The 21485-nt window shown below is 39.9% G+C and overlaps 1 long non-coding RNA gene across 1 annotated transcript in view; it reads left to right on the top strand.

The window, feature by feature from the left end:
* LOC124906227 (uncharacterized) overlaps positions 1 to 21239 on the top strand; it is a 119636-nt gene extending 98397 nt beyond the window's left edge. The window contains exon 3 of the long non-coding RNA XR_007095868.1: positions 20276 to 21239. This is a non-coding gene — a long non-coding RNA (uncharacterized LOC124906227). The remainder of the gene's footprint in view (positions 1 to 20275) is intronic.
* The last annotated feature ends 246 nt before the right edge of the window (positions 21240 to 21485 follow it).

The raw sequence follows: 21485 nt of genomic DNA, 5'->3' as shown, positions 1-21485 counted from the left end.
TATGCATTTGTTAAAACCCTTTGAACTTTACAGCACAGAAAGTGAACCTGAAGGTATGCAAAAATTTTAAAATTATTTAGGAGTTTGGGGACCTCAGGAAAGGATGTAGACTGTGATAAGAGACACAAGTACCCATATCTTGGTTTTTAATACCATTCTCATTAAAAGGAACCAGTGTTTCTTGGAAAAATGGCTGTTTCTAGGACTGGGACAGGAAACACATAAGATGAGCCTGGAGTATTGTGTAATGTCAGAAGTTAAGGAAGTGCACAAACAAACAAATCAGCATACAAAAAAAAACACAAAAATATATTGGTAGGTGTGTGTCGTCAAAGAGACACAGGAGCCAACTGAACGAGCTTTCACTTACCAAAGCTGAAATAATTTGAGCAACAAAGTAAATAAATCAGTATATTGAATTATAATCAAATGTATAAAACAAATATTAATGAGTTCAAACTCATGATATAAATAAATAATTGAACAAATAAATAAATTGGGAGAAGAGACAAATTTTCCTTGCAGAAATCCAAATAATTTCTGTAGATAGGTTGACCTTAAGAAAGTAGAACATAAGTCTCTACTCACACTGTGAGTTTCAGAGTGATTTCCTTTCAAATAGTTCAGCATGGAAAGGGGGAAGAAAGTGTAAATTTACAGTAAAGAAACCTGACAAATACTGTCTTAGCCAGATGATCAAAGTCAACATTAATAGTCATAAATCACATTGAGGGCCTGTGTCCTTGATATAATGCTCTGAAAATGGCATTTGACCTCTGTGATCTTCCTCCCTAAAACCTATAAACAAAGTCTAATGGGAAGAATATCAGACAGATTAAAATTGAGGAGCATCAAAATATACCTGATCAGTATTCCTCAAAACCGTCAAGGACATCAAAAACAAAGAAAGACTGAGAAACTGTCACAGCCAAGAGGAGCCTAGGGAGATGTGACAAGTAAATGTAATGTGGTATCCTAGATGAGATTCTAGGACAGAAAAGGACATGCATTAGTCAGGGTTCTTCAGAAAAACAGAACCAATAGGATATTATATATATGTGTGTGTGATATGATATATATATGTAGATATATATGAGAAAGATTTCGTATATGGATGTACATATATAAGATTTCATATATAGATATATATGAAATATTTTATTTTGGGAATTGGCTCACTTTCAAAATAATTCCAGTGTGGATAATATAGCATATAGTCACTTTAGTGTTGGCACCATTATCATATTCAATGCACTGTGTGTTCCCTCTACAAAAGGAACAGGTAGAACTGAGCCCAAAGGAGCTTTCTTAGTCGTTCTCAGGGAAAAACATTATCCCCATATTCTTTTGAAGTGTTCTTAGATAGCTTTAGTTCTTCCAGCTGATGTTACTGTGTGTTGCATGACTGAGGTTGCAAAGGCTAGCCTATATTTTTAATATCTGTCCAGGTTGTCATCTAGTTAACCTACTTCTATCTGATGTATAGTATTCTATTGCATGAACTCACTTATATTTATTATATTCCCTTTTTTTTGTGCGTGTTATGACACTACCTTAGGTTAGGCTGGGTTCTGCTACTATAGTAAATAAACTCCCAATTTAGTAAACCCCCACATTAGCGGATTAGCCCCAAAAGACTTACACCTTTTTCATTTAAGTCCAAAGTAGACTGATAAAGGCTTTCACCAGGCATTGATTTGGACATCCAGGAGCACTACATTTTGTAGCTCTGCAATTTAAATATGTGGTTCTCGCAGTAACTGCTGAAGGGAAAGTGACTCTTAGTTGCCTCACTCCAGAAGTGATAAAAATAATATCCATTCATAGCGTATTGGCCAGAACTTGTAGACAGAGATTGGGAAATATGGGGGAAGATCATATAGATGATCTGGTATACATTAAGGGTCTTTGCCCTGAGAATTGATTTTGACTTCCTGTAACACAAACGTTTCTGGCCTTAAATATTCCCTTGCATTTAGCAGGAATTGATTATCAAATCATTGTTACATGAATATTTAATTTGATTAAGTACAATCAGATTTCTCTCCAAAGTGATTACACCATTTGCTTTCCCATTAGTAGTTCAAGAGATATTCTATTAGCCTGCTTTTTTTAATTTATCAAAAATTTTAATGAAAAATTTCTTGTGCATATTGGAATTCCAACCTTATTACACATGATAATATTTGCATTTTGTCATTAAAACACTGATATCTGTTTATTTTATGTTTCAGATTTCTATTTGGAAAAGTACTATTGTAAGCGTCTTATATACAAGAGCATTTTGTCACCTTTGAAAATAATTTATTACATTCAACTGCTTTTATATTTTAATTTTTCCATATTTTATATCATAAATATGACTGTTTACAAATTGTTTATAAATGCTCTCCTATTTTCCTATTGTAAAAAACCCTTTTTCTCATTGATATTTAGAATTTTTACAATGAGTAAGCACTTTTGGGGGGATCTCCATCTCATTTTATTTTATTTTATTATTTATTTATTTTTGCTTCAATAGGTTTTTGGGGAACAGGTGGTGTTTGGTTAGACGGTTAAGTCCTTTAGTGGTGATTTCTGAGATTTTGGTGCACCCGTCACCCAAGCAGTGTACACTCTATGCAAAGTGTAGCCTTTTTATTCCTCACCCCCTCCCACTCTTCCCCTGACCCAGTCCCCAAATTATATTGTATCATTCTTATGTCTTTCTATCCTTGTAGCTTAGCTCCCGCTAATGAGTAAGAACATGTGATGTTTGGTTTTCAGTTTCCATCCAGGTTGCTACAATGGCCATTATTTCATTCCTTTTTATAGCTGAGAATGGTCATTTTCACGATATTGATTCTACCCATCCATGAGCATAGGATGTGTTTCCATTTGTTTGTGTCATCTATGATTTCTTTCAGCAATGTTTATAGTTTTCCTTGTAGAGGTCTGTAACCTCCTTAGTTAGGTATACACTTAAGTATTTTACTTTATTTTATTTTCTGCAGCTATTGTAATAGGGGTCTAAGCTCTTGATTTGATTCTCAGCTTGGTCATTGTTGGTGTATGGCAGTGCTACTGATTTGTCTACATTGATTTTGTATCCTGAGACTTTTCTGAATTCATTTACTAGTTCTAGGAGCTTTTTGGATGAATCTTTAGGGTTTTCTAAGTAAGTGATCATATTATTAGCAAACAGTGAGAGTTTGACTTCCTCTTTACCAATTTGGATGCCCTTGATTTGTTTCTGTTGTCTGATTGCTCTGGCTAGGACTTCCAGTAATACATTGAATAGAAGTGGTGAAAGTGGGCATCCTTGTCTTGTTCCAATTCTCAAGGGGAATACTTTCAACTTTTCCCTGTTCAGTGTAAAATTGGCTGTGGGTTTGTCATAGATGGCATACATGTCATACATGGCTTTTATTACCTTAAGGTATGTTCCATCTATGCCAATTTTGCTTAGGGTATTAATAATAAAGAATACTAGATTTTGTCAAATCCTTTTTTTGCATCTATTGAAATGATCATGTGATTTTTGTTTTTAATCCCGTTTAAAACAAAACACATACATGTGGTGTATCACATTTATTAACTTGTGTAAATTAAACCATCCCTGCATCCTTGGTATGAAACTCACTTGATCATGGTGGATTATATTTTTGATATGCCGTCAGATTCAGTTAGCTAGTATTTTGGTGAGGATTTTTGCATCTATGTTCATCAGGGATATTGGTCTGTAGTTTTCTTTTTTTGTTATGTCCTTTCCTGGTTTTGTTATTAGGGTGATACTGGCTTCACGGAATGATTCAGGGAAGATCCTCTTTCTCTATGTTTTGAAATAATGTGAATAGGATTGGTACCAATTCTTTTTTGAATGTCTGATATAATTCAGCTGTGAATTTATCTGGTCCTGGATTTTTTTTTTTGTTGGCAATTTTTAAAATTACCATTTCAATCTTGCCCCTTTTTATTGGTCTGTTCAGAGTTTCAGTTTCTTCCCAGTTTAATCTAGGAGGGTTGTATATTTCCAGAAACTTATCCATCTCCTCTAGGTTTTCTAGTTTGTGTGTGTAAAGGTGTTCATAATAGCCTTGAATAATCTTTCTTATTTCTGTGGTATCAGTTGTAATATCTCCAGTTTTGTTTATAATTGAGCTTATTCAGATCTTCTCTCTTCTTTTCTTGGTTAATGTCACTAAGGTCTATCAATTTTATTTATCCTTTCAAAGAAGCACCTTTTTGTTTCATTTATCTTTTGTAATTTTTTGTTACCATTTTATTTAGTTCTGCTCGGATTTTTGTTATTTCTTTTCTCTGGGTTTGGGTTTGGTTTGTTCTTGTTTCTCTAGTTCCTTGAGGTGTGACCTTAGATTGTTTATTTTTGATCTTTCAGACTTTTTGATGTAGGTTTTAATGCTAACTTTCCTGTTAGCACCACTTTTGCTGTATCTCAGAGATTTTGATAGGTTGTGTTATTGTTATTGTTCACTTCAAAGAATTTTTACATTTCTATCTTAATTTCATTATTGACCCAACAATCAATCAGAAGGAGGTTATTTAATTTCCATGTATTGCATGGTTTGAGTATCCCTTTTGGAGTTGATTTTCAATTTTATTCCACTGTGGTCTGAGGGAGTACTTGATATAATTTCAATTTTCTTAAATTTATTGAGACTTGTTTTGTGGCCTATCATTCTATCTTGAAGAATGTTCCATGTGTGATGAATAGAAAGAATATTCTGCAGTTGTTGGGTGGAATGTTCTGTAACTGCCTGTTAAGTTCATTTGTTCTAGGGTATAGTTTAAGTCCATTGTTTCTTTGTTGACTTTGTGTCTTGATGACTTATCTAGTGCTGTCAGTGGAGTATTGAATTCCCCCACTAGTATTGTGCTGCTGTCTATCTCATTTCTTCGGTCTAGTACTAATTGTTTTGTAAATTTGGGAGTTCCAGTGTTAGGTGCATATATATTTAGGACCATGACGTTTTCCTGTTGGGCTAGTCATTTTATCATTTTATTGTGTCCCTCTTTGTCTTTTTAAAATGCTATTGCTTTAAAGTCTGTTTTGTCTGCTATAAGAATAGCTACTCCTGCTTGCTTATAATGTCCATTTGCATGGAATATCTTTTTCCACCCCTTTAAGTTTATGTGAGTTCTTATGTGTTAGGTGAGTCTCTTGAAGACAGCAGATTCTTGGTTAATGAATTCTTTTTTTTTTTTTTTTTTTTTTTGAGACAGAGTCTCACTCCATCACCCAGGATGGTGGAGTGCAGTGGCACAATCTCAGCTCACTGCAACCACCACCTCCTGGATTCAAGCGATTCTCGTGCCTCAGCCTCCTGAGTAGCTGGGATTACAGGCATGTGCCACCACCTCCAGCTAATTTTTGTATTTTTAGTGGAGTGGGGATTCACCACATTGGCCAGGCTGGTCTTGAACCCCTAACCTCAAGTGATCCTCCCGCCTCAGCCTCCCAAAGTACTTGGATTATGGGTGTGAGCCATCATACCCACCTGGTTGGTGGATTCTTATCTCTTCTGCCATTCTGTGTCTTTTAATGGAGCATTTAGGCTATTTACATTCCATGTTATATTGAGATGTGCAGTACTGTTCTATTCATCATGCTAGTTGTTGCCTGAATACCTTGGTTTTTTTTTTCATTGTTTAATTGTTTTATAGGTCCTGTGAGATTTGTGCTTTAAGGATGTTCTATTTTGGTTTATTTTGAGGATTTGTTTCAAGATTTAGAGCTCCTTTTAGCAGTTCTTGAGTGCTGGATGGGTATTGGCAAATTCTGTCAGCATTTGTTTGTCTGAAGAAGACTGTATCTTTCCTTCATATATGAAGTTTAGTTTCGCTGGATAAAAATTCTTGGCTGATAATTGTTTTGTCTAATGAGGCTAAAAATAGGACGCCAAATCCCTTCTAGCTTGTGGGGTTTCTGCTGAGAAATCTGCAGTTAATCTAATAGGTTTTTTTCTTTATAGGTTGCCTGATGCTTTTACCTTGCAGCTCTTAAGATTCTTTCCTTGTCTTGAGTTTAGATGACCTGATGACTATGTACCTTGTTGTTGATCATTTTGTGATATATTTCCTGAGTGTTCTTTGAACTGCTTGTATTTTGATGTCTAGATCTAGCAAGGCCAGGGAAGTTTTCCATGATTATTCCATTAAATATGCTTTCCAAACTTTTAGATTTCCCTTCTTCTTTTGGAAGACCAATTATTCTTAGGTTTGATTGTTTAACGTAATCCCAAACTTCTTGGAGGCTTTGTTCATTTTTTGGATTCTTTTTTCTTTGTCTTTGTCAGATTGGGTTAATTCAAAAGCCTTGCAAGGAAGGCTTGAATCTCTTGAAGGGGCCCTCAAGTTCTTTCTTCTATTTGTTCAATTCTGTTGTTGAGACTTTCCAGTGCAGTTTGCATTTCTTTAAGTGTGTCCTTCATTACCAGAAGTTGTGATTGTTTTTTATTTATACGATCTATTTCTCTGGAGATTTTTCCATTCATATCCTGTATCATTTTTGTGTATTCTTTAAGTTGGTATTCACCATTCTCAGGTGCCTCTTTGAGTAGCTTAACAATTGACCTTCTGCATTATTTTTTCTGGCAATTCGGAGATTACATCTTGGTTTGGATCCATTGCTCGTGAGCTAGTGTATCTTTTGGGGGCGTTAAAGAACCTTGTTTTGTCCTATTACTGGGATTGTTTTTCTGGTTCCTTCTCATTTGGGTAGACTATGTGAGAGGGAATATCTAGGGCTCAAGGGCTGCTGTTTAGATTCTTTTGTCCCACAGGGTGCTCTCTTGATGTAGTGCTCTCCACCATCCCCTAGGAATGGGCCTTCCTGAGAGCCAAACTGCAGTGATTGTTATTTCTCTTTGGGGTCTAGCCACCCAGCAGAGCTACTGGGCTCTGTACTGGTACTGGGGAGTGTCTGAAAAAGGTCCTGTGATGTGATCTGTGTTCAGGTCTCTCAGCCATGGATACCAGCACCTGCTCCAGTGGCTTTAGCAGGACAGTGAAGTGGACTCTGTGAGGGTCTTTGGTTGTAGTTTTGTCTATTGTGCTGGTTTTTTGTTGATTGCCCTCCAGTCAGGAGGTACCACTTTTAAGAGAACATCAGCTGCAGAAGTATATGGAGGATACATGCTTGCCCTAGGGTCACCTGGATAAGCATTCAAGTTTCTCAGGTGGTGGGCTAGGCCATGGAGCTCCCAAGAGATTATGTCCTTTATCTTTGGAGTTTTTCGGCTGTCTCTGGTAGCCTACAGAGGCAAGCTGCTTCCTTCAAAAGGTCTGTGGATTCTCTCCTGTTACCCTGCTCTTTATGTACATTTGTTACCTTTTGATGTCCTAATTTATGCTAATCTGATAAAGTAATATCTTTATTGATGATATTCTTTATCCCAATATTTGATATAGCAAAATTGTTTTTCCTGATGTCTTTTGAATCCTTGCATCTCAGTGGTAGATTCCATCTCTCTTAAATTCCTAGCATGGAAGAGCTGTTCTGTGTACATTTAGCAGCTGGTGAACAGGTGAACATTGGCAGATCCCATCGTCCCTGGCCTGGATTGCAGAAGAATTATACCAGGCAGTGGTGGTGGGTGGGCAGTGGCTCCTGGGCAGTGATAGCAATTCATGGCTCTCCTTGTACCCTTTCCCACAGTTTCTGCTCAGTTGGGAAAATATGGGTAGGATATCCAGCCCTCCTCCTCCCCTTCAAGCTTCTGTTCCATATCATAGAGCATCTGTCTGGGGGATGGTCAGAGCAAGCCTCAAAACTGACAAAATACTGTCTCTTGCCACAGAGCCTGACTTTATCTGTATTAGACTATTGGGCAATTTATATCCCAGGGTTTTCCAGAGCATGATAGAGCAGTCAAGTAGCAATTAGTAGAGATTATGAGATGAGTGTAATACCAATAGAAGCAGAAGCCTGAAGTCTTCTGCAGAGATCAGAGAAAGAGATGGTCAAAGAGAATCTAGGGTGACTCACACCCACCTGTGCTCATGCCATGAGTGACTGGTGAGGGAGCATCTGAGTTTCAAGTCCCTGACTGAATGCTGTGCAAACTCAAACTCCCTGAATGGTGAAAGCAATCCCCAAGCCATACATAGATCCAAAGGTAAAAGGTGAAAATCTTCCTGGTTCAGAAGAGTTAAGCAAAATCACTGAACAATCAATGGTTAACCACTAAATGGTGATGACCCCTAAGAAGCCAGGCTTAAAGATAAAAATAAGGGGGGAAAATAGAACAGTGCTGTCAGAGGCTCAAGTAAGTGGGAAATAGACTTCACTGAACTGGTATAGACAAGTCACTAACAAATAAGCAAGCAAATAAACAAACAATGACCACAGCCTTGAAGGAAAGGATCAGTATCAGGAGTTACTACAGTATGTTAACTAACATTTTTGGCTTTCAGATGAGATTGGGCATGTTTGGGATGATATGGCCACAGGCAAATTTTGGTGTTCACCAAAAAATTATGATACATGCAAAGAGACATTAAAATGTGACCTATACATAGGAAAAATAAAGCAAACAATAGAAATTGTCTTTGTGGGAGCCCAGGTGTTGGAATTAGACTTCAAAGCAGCCATTATAAATGTGCTCAAAGGACTAAAGGAAAGCATGTTTAAAGAATTAAAATAAGGTATGATGACAATGTCACATCAAATAGAGAATATCAGTAAAAGTAAGTTTTAAGAAAGAAACACAAAGAAATCTATAACTGAAAAGTACAATAGCCAAAATGAAAAGTTACCAAAAGGGCTTAACAGTAGTTCTTACCTGGAAAAAGAATCAGCAAACCTAAAGATAAATCAATAGAGACCATGAATCTCAAGGAAGTCTTTTTACTCCCACTATTTTACTAAATATTCATAAGATGAATGAGTGAGCAGACACCTTAAGGTTTGTTTTCCTACATTATTATAAGGACATTTTAAAAAGTCACATTCCTTTGCTTGAGAAACTATTGACTATCTACCTATTATGTATCTATCTATCTATCTATCTATCTATCTATCTATCTATTATCTATCTATCTATCTATCATCTATCTCCATTTTATGCATCTGTTTTTTCTTCTTCTATATCTCTGTCTACCTAGCTATCTTTCAGTTAGAGCTTCTAGGTCAACTTGTCTTCCTACTTCAGGTGATTTCACAACTACTAAAAGAAGAAATCTAGTTTTGAAGATAATCTGACTGGTAGCTTATCCCTAAGTAAATGCACAATTTTTACTCCATTCACTTTCTTGTATATTGAAAATAAACCCTCAACTCTTGTATCTACTCTAAGAATTCTTAGGAGGCTGAAGAAACTATAATCTTTCTTTGCTTTCTTCTTTTGTTTCTTTTTTCCTCTTGGGGCTTCCTTCCCCCGATTTTACATTACATAGTCCCAGACTATTGGGGATAGAAGAGATCTTGGGGAGTTAAAGCAGTGCATTCTCCTTATTTCACCAATAAGAAAGCTGAGCAAGTGATTAGCCTACTCAAAGTCATCCAACCTTGTTACCCAGTCATTCCACCAAGTGACATCTCCTGTCTTTTATTATACTTTTTTTTTTTTTTTAACTTTTTCTTCTCAACACTCAGCCTTTAATTCTTCAGCCTTTCTGGCCTTTCTTGTAAAAAATAAAAGAAATAAAAAATAAAAGAATGAAACTTAATACCTGTTGAGAGGGGAGAAAAATTAAGAAAGACTCTGCTTTGTGTAAATGTTTGGAGAAAACCTTTATCTTTTTTTAAAAAAATGTGTAATCATCTTGCTTCATAAAATACCAACTCAGAGACAACATTTCTATTTCTCTCTGTGTTGTGCACATACATGGGACATGCTATTAGGGGTGTTCAGCTAGTCACAGTATATTTATTCAGGGATGTAAATGATTGGATAGATTATTCTTAATTATTATGACATATAACAAAATAATTGTGAACCTAAAAGAGGAATTATTGTATAATTAGGAATACATACTGGGGAATTTTAAGGCTCTAGGACTTTAATAATATAAAAACAAAATCTTTTAAAGAAAATTTGTATTGTTTTAAATTTAAAGTTATTTTGTTGAGCATCTCTTCACTGTGGACCAATTACAATTCACACACTTGGGAAATCAGACCATTTATAGAAGAATTACTGACAATGGACAGTGACAAACCTTGAAATTCAAAGTTATTTTCATCGCAGTATCTAAGAGAAGGAAATTAAAACTGCCTGTACTTCCTCAGCAGGCCAAATGCCAGTAAAGTTGTCTGGAGATGATGTGAGATGGTCATGTGGCTACTTTTTTTTTTCTGGAAAGTGAACCCTTGAAAGTAGGATCAATAAAAATATCAATGAGAGAATAGCATTATCTCACACAAAAAATTGCAATTGTGAAAATTACATACAATAGGAAAGGGCAGAATATTTATCTCGTCATATAGGGAATATTTGACTAATGCCACAAATCTATTTAGTAAAAGAAAAAAACCAAGCATTTCAGAAAAGTGGGATAATTTATAAACTTCACTCATTAGAAATTATAATATGACAGTACTGTGAAGCTAGCATGCATTAACTAAGACACGACTCCATTGTTTAAAAATCCATGTGACAATTAACAACCACAGCAACACATTATAGAGTTTTTCCAAAATGCTCTAATGTAATTTCTAAATGCCATTCCTCTTTTATAATAAATCATCTTTGTGATCAATATTTTCCAGTCAATATTCTCCTCCCTAAAAGCAATCTGGACTATTGGGCAGATATTGGGCAGAAACAGAAGCAGTCAGTAATTTGAACGGTTTGTGTTTCTTGGTTTCTCTAATAATAACCTGACACTGTTTCCGCAATAGGCACCACCACACTCCAATTCCCATGTCTTCAATGTTCCTTTCATCATCAGTCACCTTTACTTCCATTTTGTTAGTAATCAGATGTGGGGTTGACCTATGCAAAGGAACCACTTCTATACGTAGTGTCTTATACCCTGGATAGAAGACACTCGCATGCTGCATTTTGCAGGCATGTTCAGGCTTCTGCATTAGCCATGTGTCCCTGGGAATTGTGCTCAAATCCAGGCTGCATCTTACCTCAGCAATTCCTTCTTCTTGGGACTTACATATCCGTGATTCCACATCACACAGCCCAAGACTGTATATAGTGCCATATAATAGTTGTTTTAGTCTGTTTTCTTTTATTATAACTGAGTAACTGGTCCTGGGCAATTTATAAAGAAAAGGAACTTATTTTTTACAGTTATGAAGGCTGAGAAGTCCAAGGTGAGGGGCTGCATTTAGTGAAGACCTTCTTGCTGGTGGGGACTCTCTGCAGAGTTTCCAGGCGGTGCAGAGTATCATCTAGTGATGGGGTTGAGCATACTTGCTCAGGTCTCTCTTTGTCCTCTTGCAAAGCCACTAATAATCACTCTTGTGATAACCCATTAACACATTAACCTATTAATCCATTAATCTGTACATGAGGGCTAAGACCTCATAACACAATCACCTCTTAAAGGTTCCACCTTTCAGTACTGCCACATTGGGGATAAAGTTTCAATATGAATTTTGGAGGGGAGAAACGTTTAAACCACTTCAATAGCATTTGGTCACTGACAACTTGACATGAGATCCCTCAGTACTGTCAACCTGTAACAAATGAGGTTCCCACTGCAGTGATTGTTACAGCTGTCCACAAACATGATCTGGACCATTGCATTTTAGTCACAGGAAACATTCAGCAAGGGTCAAGCTTACTATACAACAGCAGTGAGTATGTATTGAGTGGCGATTATGTGCCAGTTGTGGAGTCTTGATAAGTAAGCAACAAAGAGGAAGGGACCCCAGGTAGGGGAGGGACCCAGGTGGGGAAGAACAATGAACAATTGTTCTGAGAAATGAGAAATCACAAACAATGACCTTGTTTAGCACATAGCCCCCTCCAGTACAACCCCATTAAACTTCCCTCCAGGACCCCCCAACCTTTGCACAACCCTATTAAACTTCCCTGCAGCTCCTCCCATCCACCTCGTGGCAGATAGCCCCTTATCTGCTGTGCTGCCTGTTGCAACCTAACAATGCATTTTCATACTTTCTCTAAAAAATATGCCTTTCTTTACTTACAACTGTCCTGGCGAATTCCTTTACCACCCGTGACACCGGCCCCAACTAGTCACACCTGTAACATTTTGGTGGCCTGTATGGGGCCTTCTTGGGGACCTCTCTACTACTCTATCCCTTCCCTCTCCTCCAATTCCAGACTCTTGGTGGTCAGTGTTCAAGTCCAGAGACAACTGAAGGTCCCTGGCAAGGGCCACTCCCAGGCAGACCAGAGGTCCTGGTGGGAAGACGTCTGATTGCCATCGCCTGATCAGATGAGAGTTCAGAGTGTTCTTTCCTTTTCAGTCGTCTAGTGGACAAACTCTAGTATCCCTCTGGAAATTGATGGCCACTCCCTGGTACAGCCTGAAGGCCTGGGGTGAACAGGTTTGCCTGCCTTGCAAGGAAGGTAGGCAGGCTTTCTGTTATCTTTTCTGGTCAAGAGACTCCAATCCCTTATGTGTAGTGCAATTGGCAGCAGAAGTTCAACCAGGGTGAACCTACACCCATTTTGGAGAACATAAACTCCCTCTTTCTCACTCTAAACTCTCCTGTGAAGACAGCCAGCCATCCTGCTCCAGATGTCTTAAGCCAGGTGATCCCAAACAGCACCAGGATGATAAGTCTTCCCTCAACGTTTTTCTGGCATACCTGGATTGAGCAAACAGTGTAATTTGTACCTGGACTGACCTTGGGTCTCTTACCCAGTGTTCATCCAATGTAAGGCTCTATCACTGAGAGATCCTTTCCAATAGATGGAATATCTCTTTGGAAAGTGCATTTTGAAGTCCTTAAGTAAAGACTAGTGGAGCCCTCTTCCTTTGCAGGAAGCTTCAAAAGAAATTGCAGTTCATGTTCCCAGGGGATTTTTTTTTTTCCCCAGTCCCATCATGGGACAAAGCCCCATCCATTCTCTCAGACTTAACCCTGCACTGCATTTTAAAGCATTGGGATAAATTTGACACTCAGACTCTTAAAAAGAAATGTCTAATTTTCTTGTGTAATACAGTATGGCCACTTTATAAACTTCCAGATCAGGAATCCTCCCGGTCTCCAGGCTGGACCCTTGCCCCAATACCATTTTACAGCTTGATCTTTTCTGTCACAACTCTTCTAAATGGTCTGAAATTCTTAATGTCCAGGTTTTCATGACTTTCAGGATGCTAATCTCCACAAAACCTGTTGAATGTGCATGGCTAGATTCTCTGGTCCCCCTGACTCGTCTTACATTTCGATGATCCTTCTTTTACTCTCTACCATTCTCCATACCCGGCTGGACAAGTTGAGATCACGCCTTCTTTCCCTAACAAGCCACCTTCACATCCAATTACACTGTCTGCATTTGCTCCTTCTCCCTCACCTTCCCCCTGACACCCAAACCTTGGATGTTATTTTCTGTTGCCTCCTCCTTATCAGGACACTTCTCCCCTTCACATACAAGTCAGGGGCCACCTAGGATCCCATTTCAGGCCCAGAAAAAGTTCTGCCACTCCAGGAGGTGGCAAATGGGAATCTAGGAACCATCAGAGTCCATATTCCCTTCCCAATATCTGATCTTTTCCAAATAGAAACTAAGCTCAGCTCTTTCAGCCAAGACCTTTCTCACTTCATGAAGGAATTTAAAGACTTTGCTGTTTCCTTCTACCTCACTTGGTAGGACATCTATATTATTTTCACCACTTGTTGCACCCACAAGGAAAAATCCTGCATTTGGTCTCTGGCCCAAAGATGGGCAGATGAGGTACATTCCCCAAATCCCCAGGAGTCTGGCCCTGGGAGAACCACAGTGCATGACACTGATCTAGGTGGTGATGTCAAGAGGGAGACCACAGCAAGGAACATCATAATCACATGACCACTTGCCTGATTGAGGGCATGAAGAAGGCCACCATAAAACCTGTAAATTATGTCACACTAAGGGAAATAACACAGGCATCAAATAAAAACCTAGCCCTATTCCATTTCAGGCCGGCTGAGGCTATGAGAAAATATACTATTTGAACCCTGAAAGCCCAGAAGGCCCACCATCTGGGCTATTCATTTCATCAGCCAGGCGTCATCAGACATTAGACATCAACTCCAAAAACTAGATAAGGAACCACAAACTCCTTTCCTCAAATTGCTGGACATGGCCTTCAAGGTCTTCAATAATTGAGAGGAGGTCTCAAGAACTGAACAGGATCGGAAGGAATGAGAAAGAGATAAGCAGCAGGCCCATTATATGGGCACAACTGTTGCTAACTCCCTGCCTACCTCAAAGGCCCTGGGTCAGCCATCAGGATACAGCCCAGCAGCCAATAAGGGAGGCCCCCATTTGCTATCATTGTACCAGTCAGGGAATATTAGCCAACACTGACAAAACTCTCTCCAGCCATTATCTGGTCCCCAGCAACTGCCACCTGGCCCCTACCCACACTGCAAACAAGTGGGGCACTGGAAATGGGACTTCCTTTCTCTCTCTCATGCAGGAGGTCACCCTTTACTAGCAACTTCAATTGCAGGCCAACTTGAGAGAATGGCAAAGAATGCTTGACTCTGCTCCTCAACTATGAGGAAACCAATAGGAACAAAAGGGAAGAAGGGATGAGTCCCAGGAAGGGCCATTCCCTCTCTTTCCCAGATTGACAGGTCCCCAAAACCATTTAGGCTCCTGTGTTTTCCATCACTATGGCTGAGCGTTTGGTAACCCTAGACGTGGCAGGAAGAAGAACTGAGTTATTGATTGATACAGGAGAAGATTACTCTGCCCTAATTAATTTTCCTGGACCTACTTTTCAGTCCTCAATCCTCCTTACCAGCAGAGATGGCCAGCTAAAACAGGGGTAATTTACTTCTCCTTTAGTATGTACCTTTGCAAAAAATATTTTCACCCATTCTTTCCTTGCTTTGCCAGTTGCCCAATCCCGCTACTTGGGAGGGACATAATGACAAAGATCCAAACCAAACTTCAATTGTCTGAGCTTTCCTGCCCATTATTAAGCTTACTAGCCCCTGACACCGAAAGCCCAAAGATAATAAAGCCTTCTATTCTACAATACGTTCCTTCAGAGGTATAGGATACTTCCACTTCAGGAAGGATTTTTATAGGATCTGTTCATTGTTCACAGATCCTATAAAAATCCACCTTAAAAGTCCCAAATCCTTCTCTAGGATGCCCCAATAACCTTTAAAGCCAAAACTCAAATAAGCTTACACCTCCTAATAGAGAAATTTTTGGCCATGGGGTTACTCTGCCCTTGTAACTCATTACATAATACACCCATCTGGGCAGTCAAAAAGACAGTTTGGGAGGCTGCAGCAGCTTGAACCTGGGAGATGGAAGTTAGAGTAAGCTGAGATTGCACCACTGCACTCCATCCTGGGCAACAAAGTGAGACTGTGGCTCAAAAAATAAAATAAAATAAAATAAAAAAATAAAAAAGTCAGACGGCACCTATACAATACTACAAGACCTGAGGGCCATCAGTGAAGCAGTAATCCCAATACATCTAATTGTTCCCAATCCTTACAGCCTGCTAGGGCAAAATTCCTTCTGGCACTTCTTGGTTCACAGTAATAGATCTAAAAGATGCTTTCTTTTGCATTTCAGTACACCTGGACTCTGAATTTTTATTTGTCTTTGAATGATGACCCTTCTAATCATGTTTCCTAACAATTAACCTGGAGAGACCTCCCCCAGGGATTTAGAGATAGCCCACACCTATTTTGATAAGCTCTTGACAAAGATCTCTTCACCCTTCAACTCTCCCTGATAGTGTCCTGCTTCAAAATGTTGATGACCTGCTTATTTTCAGCCCAACCAAACACGTCTCAGACCTAAATACTACTAAAACTCTTCAGAGATTGGCCTCCTGTGGTTATAAAGTCTCTGCTTCCAAAGCTCAAATCTCCTCTCAGGAGGTCCAATTCTTGGGACAAACATTAACCCCAGGGTCCAAGGGTCTCTCAAAGTGCTGCAAATATCTTATCCTAAACATGAGCATTCTATTCACTAGACAGCAACTGTGGTCCTTTTGGAGAATGGCAGGCTTCTGTCACACTTGGATAGCCCAGTTTGGGATTATAGCAAAACCTCTGTATAAGGCACTGTGAAGACCAGAGGAGGAACACTTAAATTGGAGCCTTGAAATAAATAATGTCCCTAAAACCCTGAAACAAGCACTCACCTCCACCCCAGCCCTGCCTTGCCAGATCTTAGAAAGCCTTTTTACTTGTTTGTACTTGAAAGAAGGGGTATCGCCCTTGGAATCCTCACTATCCATTGTGACTTTCTCAACGGCCAATTGCTTACTTATCAAAAACCCTTGACCTAGTAGCATAGGGATGGCCTCTATGCCTCTGAATGCTAGCATCTGTGGCTCTCCTAGTTAAGAAGGCCTTCAAGCTAACTCTGGGTCAAGGAATAACTCTATACACCCCACATCAGGTAATGGATGTCCTAAACTCAAAGGCCTTTCACTGGATCTCAGACAGCTGTATTAGCAAATATCAAACACTCCTTCCACAGGTACCAGAATTGAGTATTAGGCCCTGTCAAACTCTTAATCCTGCCACCCTTGTTACCTGACCCAAATGTAGAGAGACCACTTGAACATTCTTGCTTGGAAACCATAGATTTAACTTGTAATGCTAGACTAGACCTCCTGGATATATCTCTTATAGATCCTGAGGCCACAGATGGAAATAACTTTATGACAGGTGGAACCCGATTGTTAGGCTATGCTATTGTTAGCCTAGCTGAAGTCATAAAATCTAGACCCCTTTCAGGAGACACTACCTCAGCCCAAAAGGCTGAGCTCATTGCTCTTACCTGAGCCTTACAATTAGGGACAAGCATGAGGCTTAACATCTAAACAGACTTGTCCTATGTCTTTCATGTAGTGCATGCCCATGCAGCCATTTGGCGGGAAAGAGGGCTTTTAATGGCCCCAAATATTCGAATTAAACATGCTCTTGAAATAATGGCCAAGTTGGAGGCAATTATGCTTCCCTCACATTAGCTATCATTCACTGCAAAGCCTATTAGAGGAACAATGATGAAATCTCTATTGGGAACAACCAGGCTGACAAACAAGCAAAACTGGCAGCCAGGCTGCCCCTTTAGTCTGTCCTAGTTCCCACCCTAACTCCCTTGTCTCCACACTATACACAGGAGGAAACCCAGAAGCTCTAGAAAGGGGTTTCTCCCATACCTCAGAAGGCTGACTTAAAAGGTCCTGATGGGAAACTCTTGCTTCCAGGAGCCTCACAATGGCAGCTTCTAAACAGCTTACACCAATCAACTCATCTAGGGGCTAAGGCCCTCCAGAGAGTAATAAAGCTGCTGTTTACCAGCAAGAGGGTAGCCCAAACTATGGGCCATCTCACAGGCCTGTCTCACCTGCTCCCAAATAAACCCAGAGGGAGTCCACAAACCTTCCCTACTCCTTCAACCAATTCAAAAATGAGGGACCTTACCTGGAGAAGACTGACAAATAGAGTTTACGTACATGCCACTATGCAAGGGACTCAGGTACTAGTTAGTTTTTGTAGACACCTTCACTGGATGGGTAGAGGCCTTTGCCACTAAAACCAAGTGGACCTTAGAAGTCGCTTCGGCCCTTTTAGGTCACATTCCTCTTCATTTTGGGCTCCCTTATACCCTATAGTCAGACAATGGCCCCACTTTTATTTCTCAAATAATGCAGGGAATCAGTGCTTTCCAGACCATGCATGTGGCTTGGCATCACAATCTTCTGGGAACGTGGAGAGAGCCAACCAAACCATAAAAAAGTACCTCATGAAGGTAATTTATGGAATCCAACAGTCATGGCCAACTTTACTCCTCATTGCACTCTGAAAAGTCCATATCACTCCAAAATATGAAACTCAGCCCCTTTGAGATTCTCTATGGAAGATCTTTCCTCCAATAGATCTTTTGGTAGAACCAAAGAGTCATTATCTCATGCAATATGTTATACCCCTGGGACAAACCATCAAGGCCATTAATCATTATCAGAATTTTCATAGCCCAAAACCTAAACCCTGTTTTTCAGGAGACACTCACCCTAATCTTATGCCTGGAGACTGGGTATGTCGTCCCAAAGGACAAAAAGCCACTGGAGCCTCTTTGGATTAGATCATACCAAGTTCTCCTTATGACCCCAACAGCTGTAAATCTCCAAGGCCTCTCTGTGGATTTACCTCTTCAGGGTCAAGGTGGCACCAGCACCCAACAAAGAACACTTAAACCTGTGAACCAGTTGGAGACTTTCATCTGTTGTTCAGGTGGGACCTGAACTCCAGTGATATCCACCCTAATATGTAGAGGGCTTACTTCATCCTCTTACAGTCCTTAAGCCAGTACTCAGAAGTTTTCCATGGTCAGCTTTGTCTTCTGCTATAAATGCTTTTATGAACAACTCACCCAAACTTGCTGTCTTCAGGGTAATTTCCAGGAGTTCCACCTGGACTAAATTTCCTTATATGTATCTTAGCTATATCATTCACCCCCACCCCACAACACAGGTTTGCAGAAGTTCTAGGACTCTGTCCAGTTGTTTTCTTATATTTGTGGCTCTTCTCTCTTGTCTCCCTGAATTCATTATATCTTGTTACTTTTAACATGGCAGGCTTCATCCCAGTTATTTGGATGTCTCTCCACTTAGCGTTAACACTTACAGTGAACCTTACTCTGCCTAGCTTCATGGATTGTACCCTACTTGAAGGGGCCCATAAGCTATTAAGGGAAAAACATTCTCTGCATGGAAAGGATTTTTGGCTTTGCTTACCACTAACCCCTGAAAGGTATGCTTCTGCATTCCCTATTTCTATTCAGGATTGGATCCATTTTAACACCACCTGGTACCCTAAATTCCTGTTCCCCCAACTCCCATGGGACCTTAAAAAGCATGCATGAGGCATAATATCTGCATTCTCTGCCTATTTAAGCCAATACACAACCAAGCTAAAAACAGCAACCCTCTGGAAGGACTGGTACTGAGCCGAGAGACAATGGTAGACTCCAAACCCTGTTGTAAGCCCCCTTTCTAAACAAGTCCAACCCAAACATCAAGCTCCTATTTGTCTTAAAACAACAGATAATGAACATTGCTCCAATCCTGAGGGTAATATTCCTAACTCCCTTCAAAACTACACTGTAACTATAAGTATCACCAATAGAAAAACATATCAGAGGGAAAACGCAATTCAGTACCAGTTAGAATATCAGGCCCAGCTGCCCTCAATTCCCCAAATCTCCAAAACATAAAGTCTCACTACTGCACAAGGTGCCCTTCTCCAGACACTTGTTCTGACCCAGTCCCATGGCAAAATTGCAAGGTTTCAAATTCCCCAAATAATTGCCTACACATTCCCGTGCTCAGCAGCCCCAAATCTCAGATGTTTCTAGATGCTCAATGCTTTCATTTATTCTGGGAAAATGAAACCCACCAAATGCAAACTGTAATATCCAAGCCTTACAGCCTCTTACAACTATGCACTAGCTATTCAGTATTTCTTCAGGTCAGAAGGCCAAAATACACTGTTTCTTCACTTTAAGTCTAACATCTTCCCCTAAATCTAAGGGAGCTTTCTTCCTCTGAGAATCAAATGCATATATTTGTCTTCCAGCCAACTGGACTGGGACTTGTACACTACTTTACTTAGCTCCAGACATCCAAATTGCTCCTTCTGATCAATCCCTCCCAATTCCACTTTACAGTTCTAGTGGGGAAAAATGGGCCATCCATCTGATTCCCTTACTCATTGGCCTAGGAATTGCCACTGGATTAGGTACAAGAATAACACGTATGAGCCTTGCAGTCCCTACTTATCATGCCCTCTCAATCGAACTCACCCCTGAGCTCAAATGCATCTCTGACACTCTGGAAGTCCTCCAAGATCAGGTAGACCCCCTAGCAGCAGTTATTTAAAACAACCATGGCCTAAATCTACTTATGGCAGCCCATGGGGGGCATTTGTTTAGCCCTTAAAGAAGATTGTTATGTTTATATTAATCAAGCAGGAATAGTGTGGGACCCTATCAAAAAACACTGAAATTGAGGAAAAGGCATCACAAGGATGGTCTTCATGGACATCCACCTGGGGATGGTTCTTCTGGTTGCTCCTTGTGTCACTAACAGGCATTTTATTATTCCTTCTTTTTGGCCCTTGCATCTTCAACTTACTTGTTAAATTTGTGTCTTCTAGAATTCAGCAGTTTCACCTTCGAATAATGCTGCAAATGGAATATCAGTCTCTCCCCAGTGATGCTCACTAACTGAACAAATCTCCCTTGGATTCAGCTGGACACCAGTTTCACCTTGACATGCTCCCCATCTCTGATGAGTCGCTTCCTCCAGCAAGATCCAATATCCTAAGTCCCACAGTCCAGGACAATGACCCACAGGATCTCCCGACAGACCAACAGCCATAGTTAGGGTCAACTCTACACCCAAGGCCAGCAGGAAGTAGTTGGAGGATAAGACCACTGCCCTAGTGCCAAAGACTTGTCATTGTTGTTCTGTCAGAGGGGAAAAGGGGAGTCTGAGGAAGGATTCCCAGGTGGGGGAGGGTCCCCTGTGGGGAGAAACAATAAACAGTTATTCTGAGAGATGGCTAATCACAAACAACCCATGGTCACAGTGACCTTGTTCCACACATAGCCCCCTCCAGCATGACCCTATAAATCTTCCCTCCAGTCCCTCATCTCTTGGCAGATAGCCCCTTCTCTATTGTACTGTCTGTTGTAACCTTGCAATGTATTTCATACTTTCTCTAGTAAATCTGCCTTGCTTTACATACAACTCTCTTGGCAAATTCCCTTACCACCTGCGACACCAGCCCCAGGTAGTCACACCCGTGACAACAGTCACTGTTTTAAGTGCTTTTATGTGCATTATCTTGCTTAAGTCTAAGAGGTAATATTATTATATTATTATTTTCACTTTGCAGATGAGAATCCTGTGGCTCGGAGAGGCGATACAACTTGCCTGAAAGCACAAAGCTATGAAGCAAAGGCATTCTGATTATAGAGTCACGCTATTGTACATTATATGGCCTCCAAATTGAGCACCCTGCTAGGATTCAAAATATGAGTGGGAGATGCAGACATCTTCTTGTGATTTAAGCACCTTATCTTTCATTTAGAGGCACACATGATTAGACTCTGTGGTGTAAATTAATTCAAACAAATTGGAGGAACTGATGTTACAAACGTAAACAAGGTTCTCATTAAAATCTCCCTCATTAATTGTTTTTATGGTGGCTGTTTGGTTTTTGTAGCCCTTACACATGTTCTTGCATTTATATTTCAGGTTCAGATGAAGCTCAGACTGAAGCTGTAATAATGCTCTTGCCTACTAGGAAACAGCAGTTGGTAATGCATTCCTGGATGTTCTTTTGATAGTTCTTTCATGGA

This window comes from Homo sapiens, chromosome 3 (assembly GCF_000001405.40).
Source record: "Homo sapiens chromosome 3, GRCh38.p14 Primary Assembly".
Taxonomy (NCBI): domain Eukaryota; kingdom Metazoa; phylum Chordata; class Mammalia; order Primates; family Hominidae; genus Homo; species Homo sapiens.
Note: the sequence above shows the minus strand (reverse complement) of the source record. Positions and strands in the feature narration are given on the sequence as shown.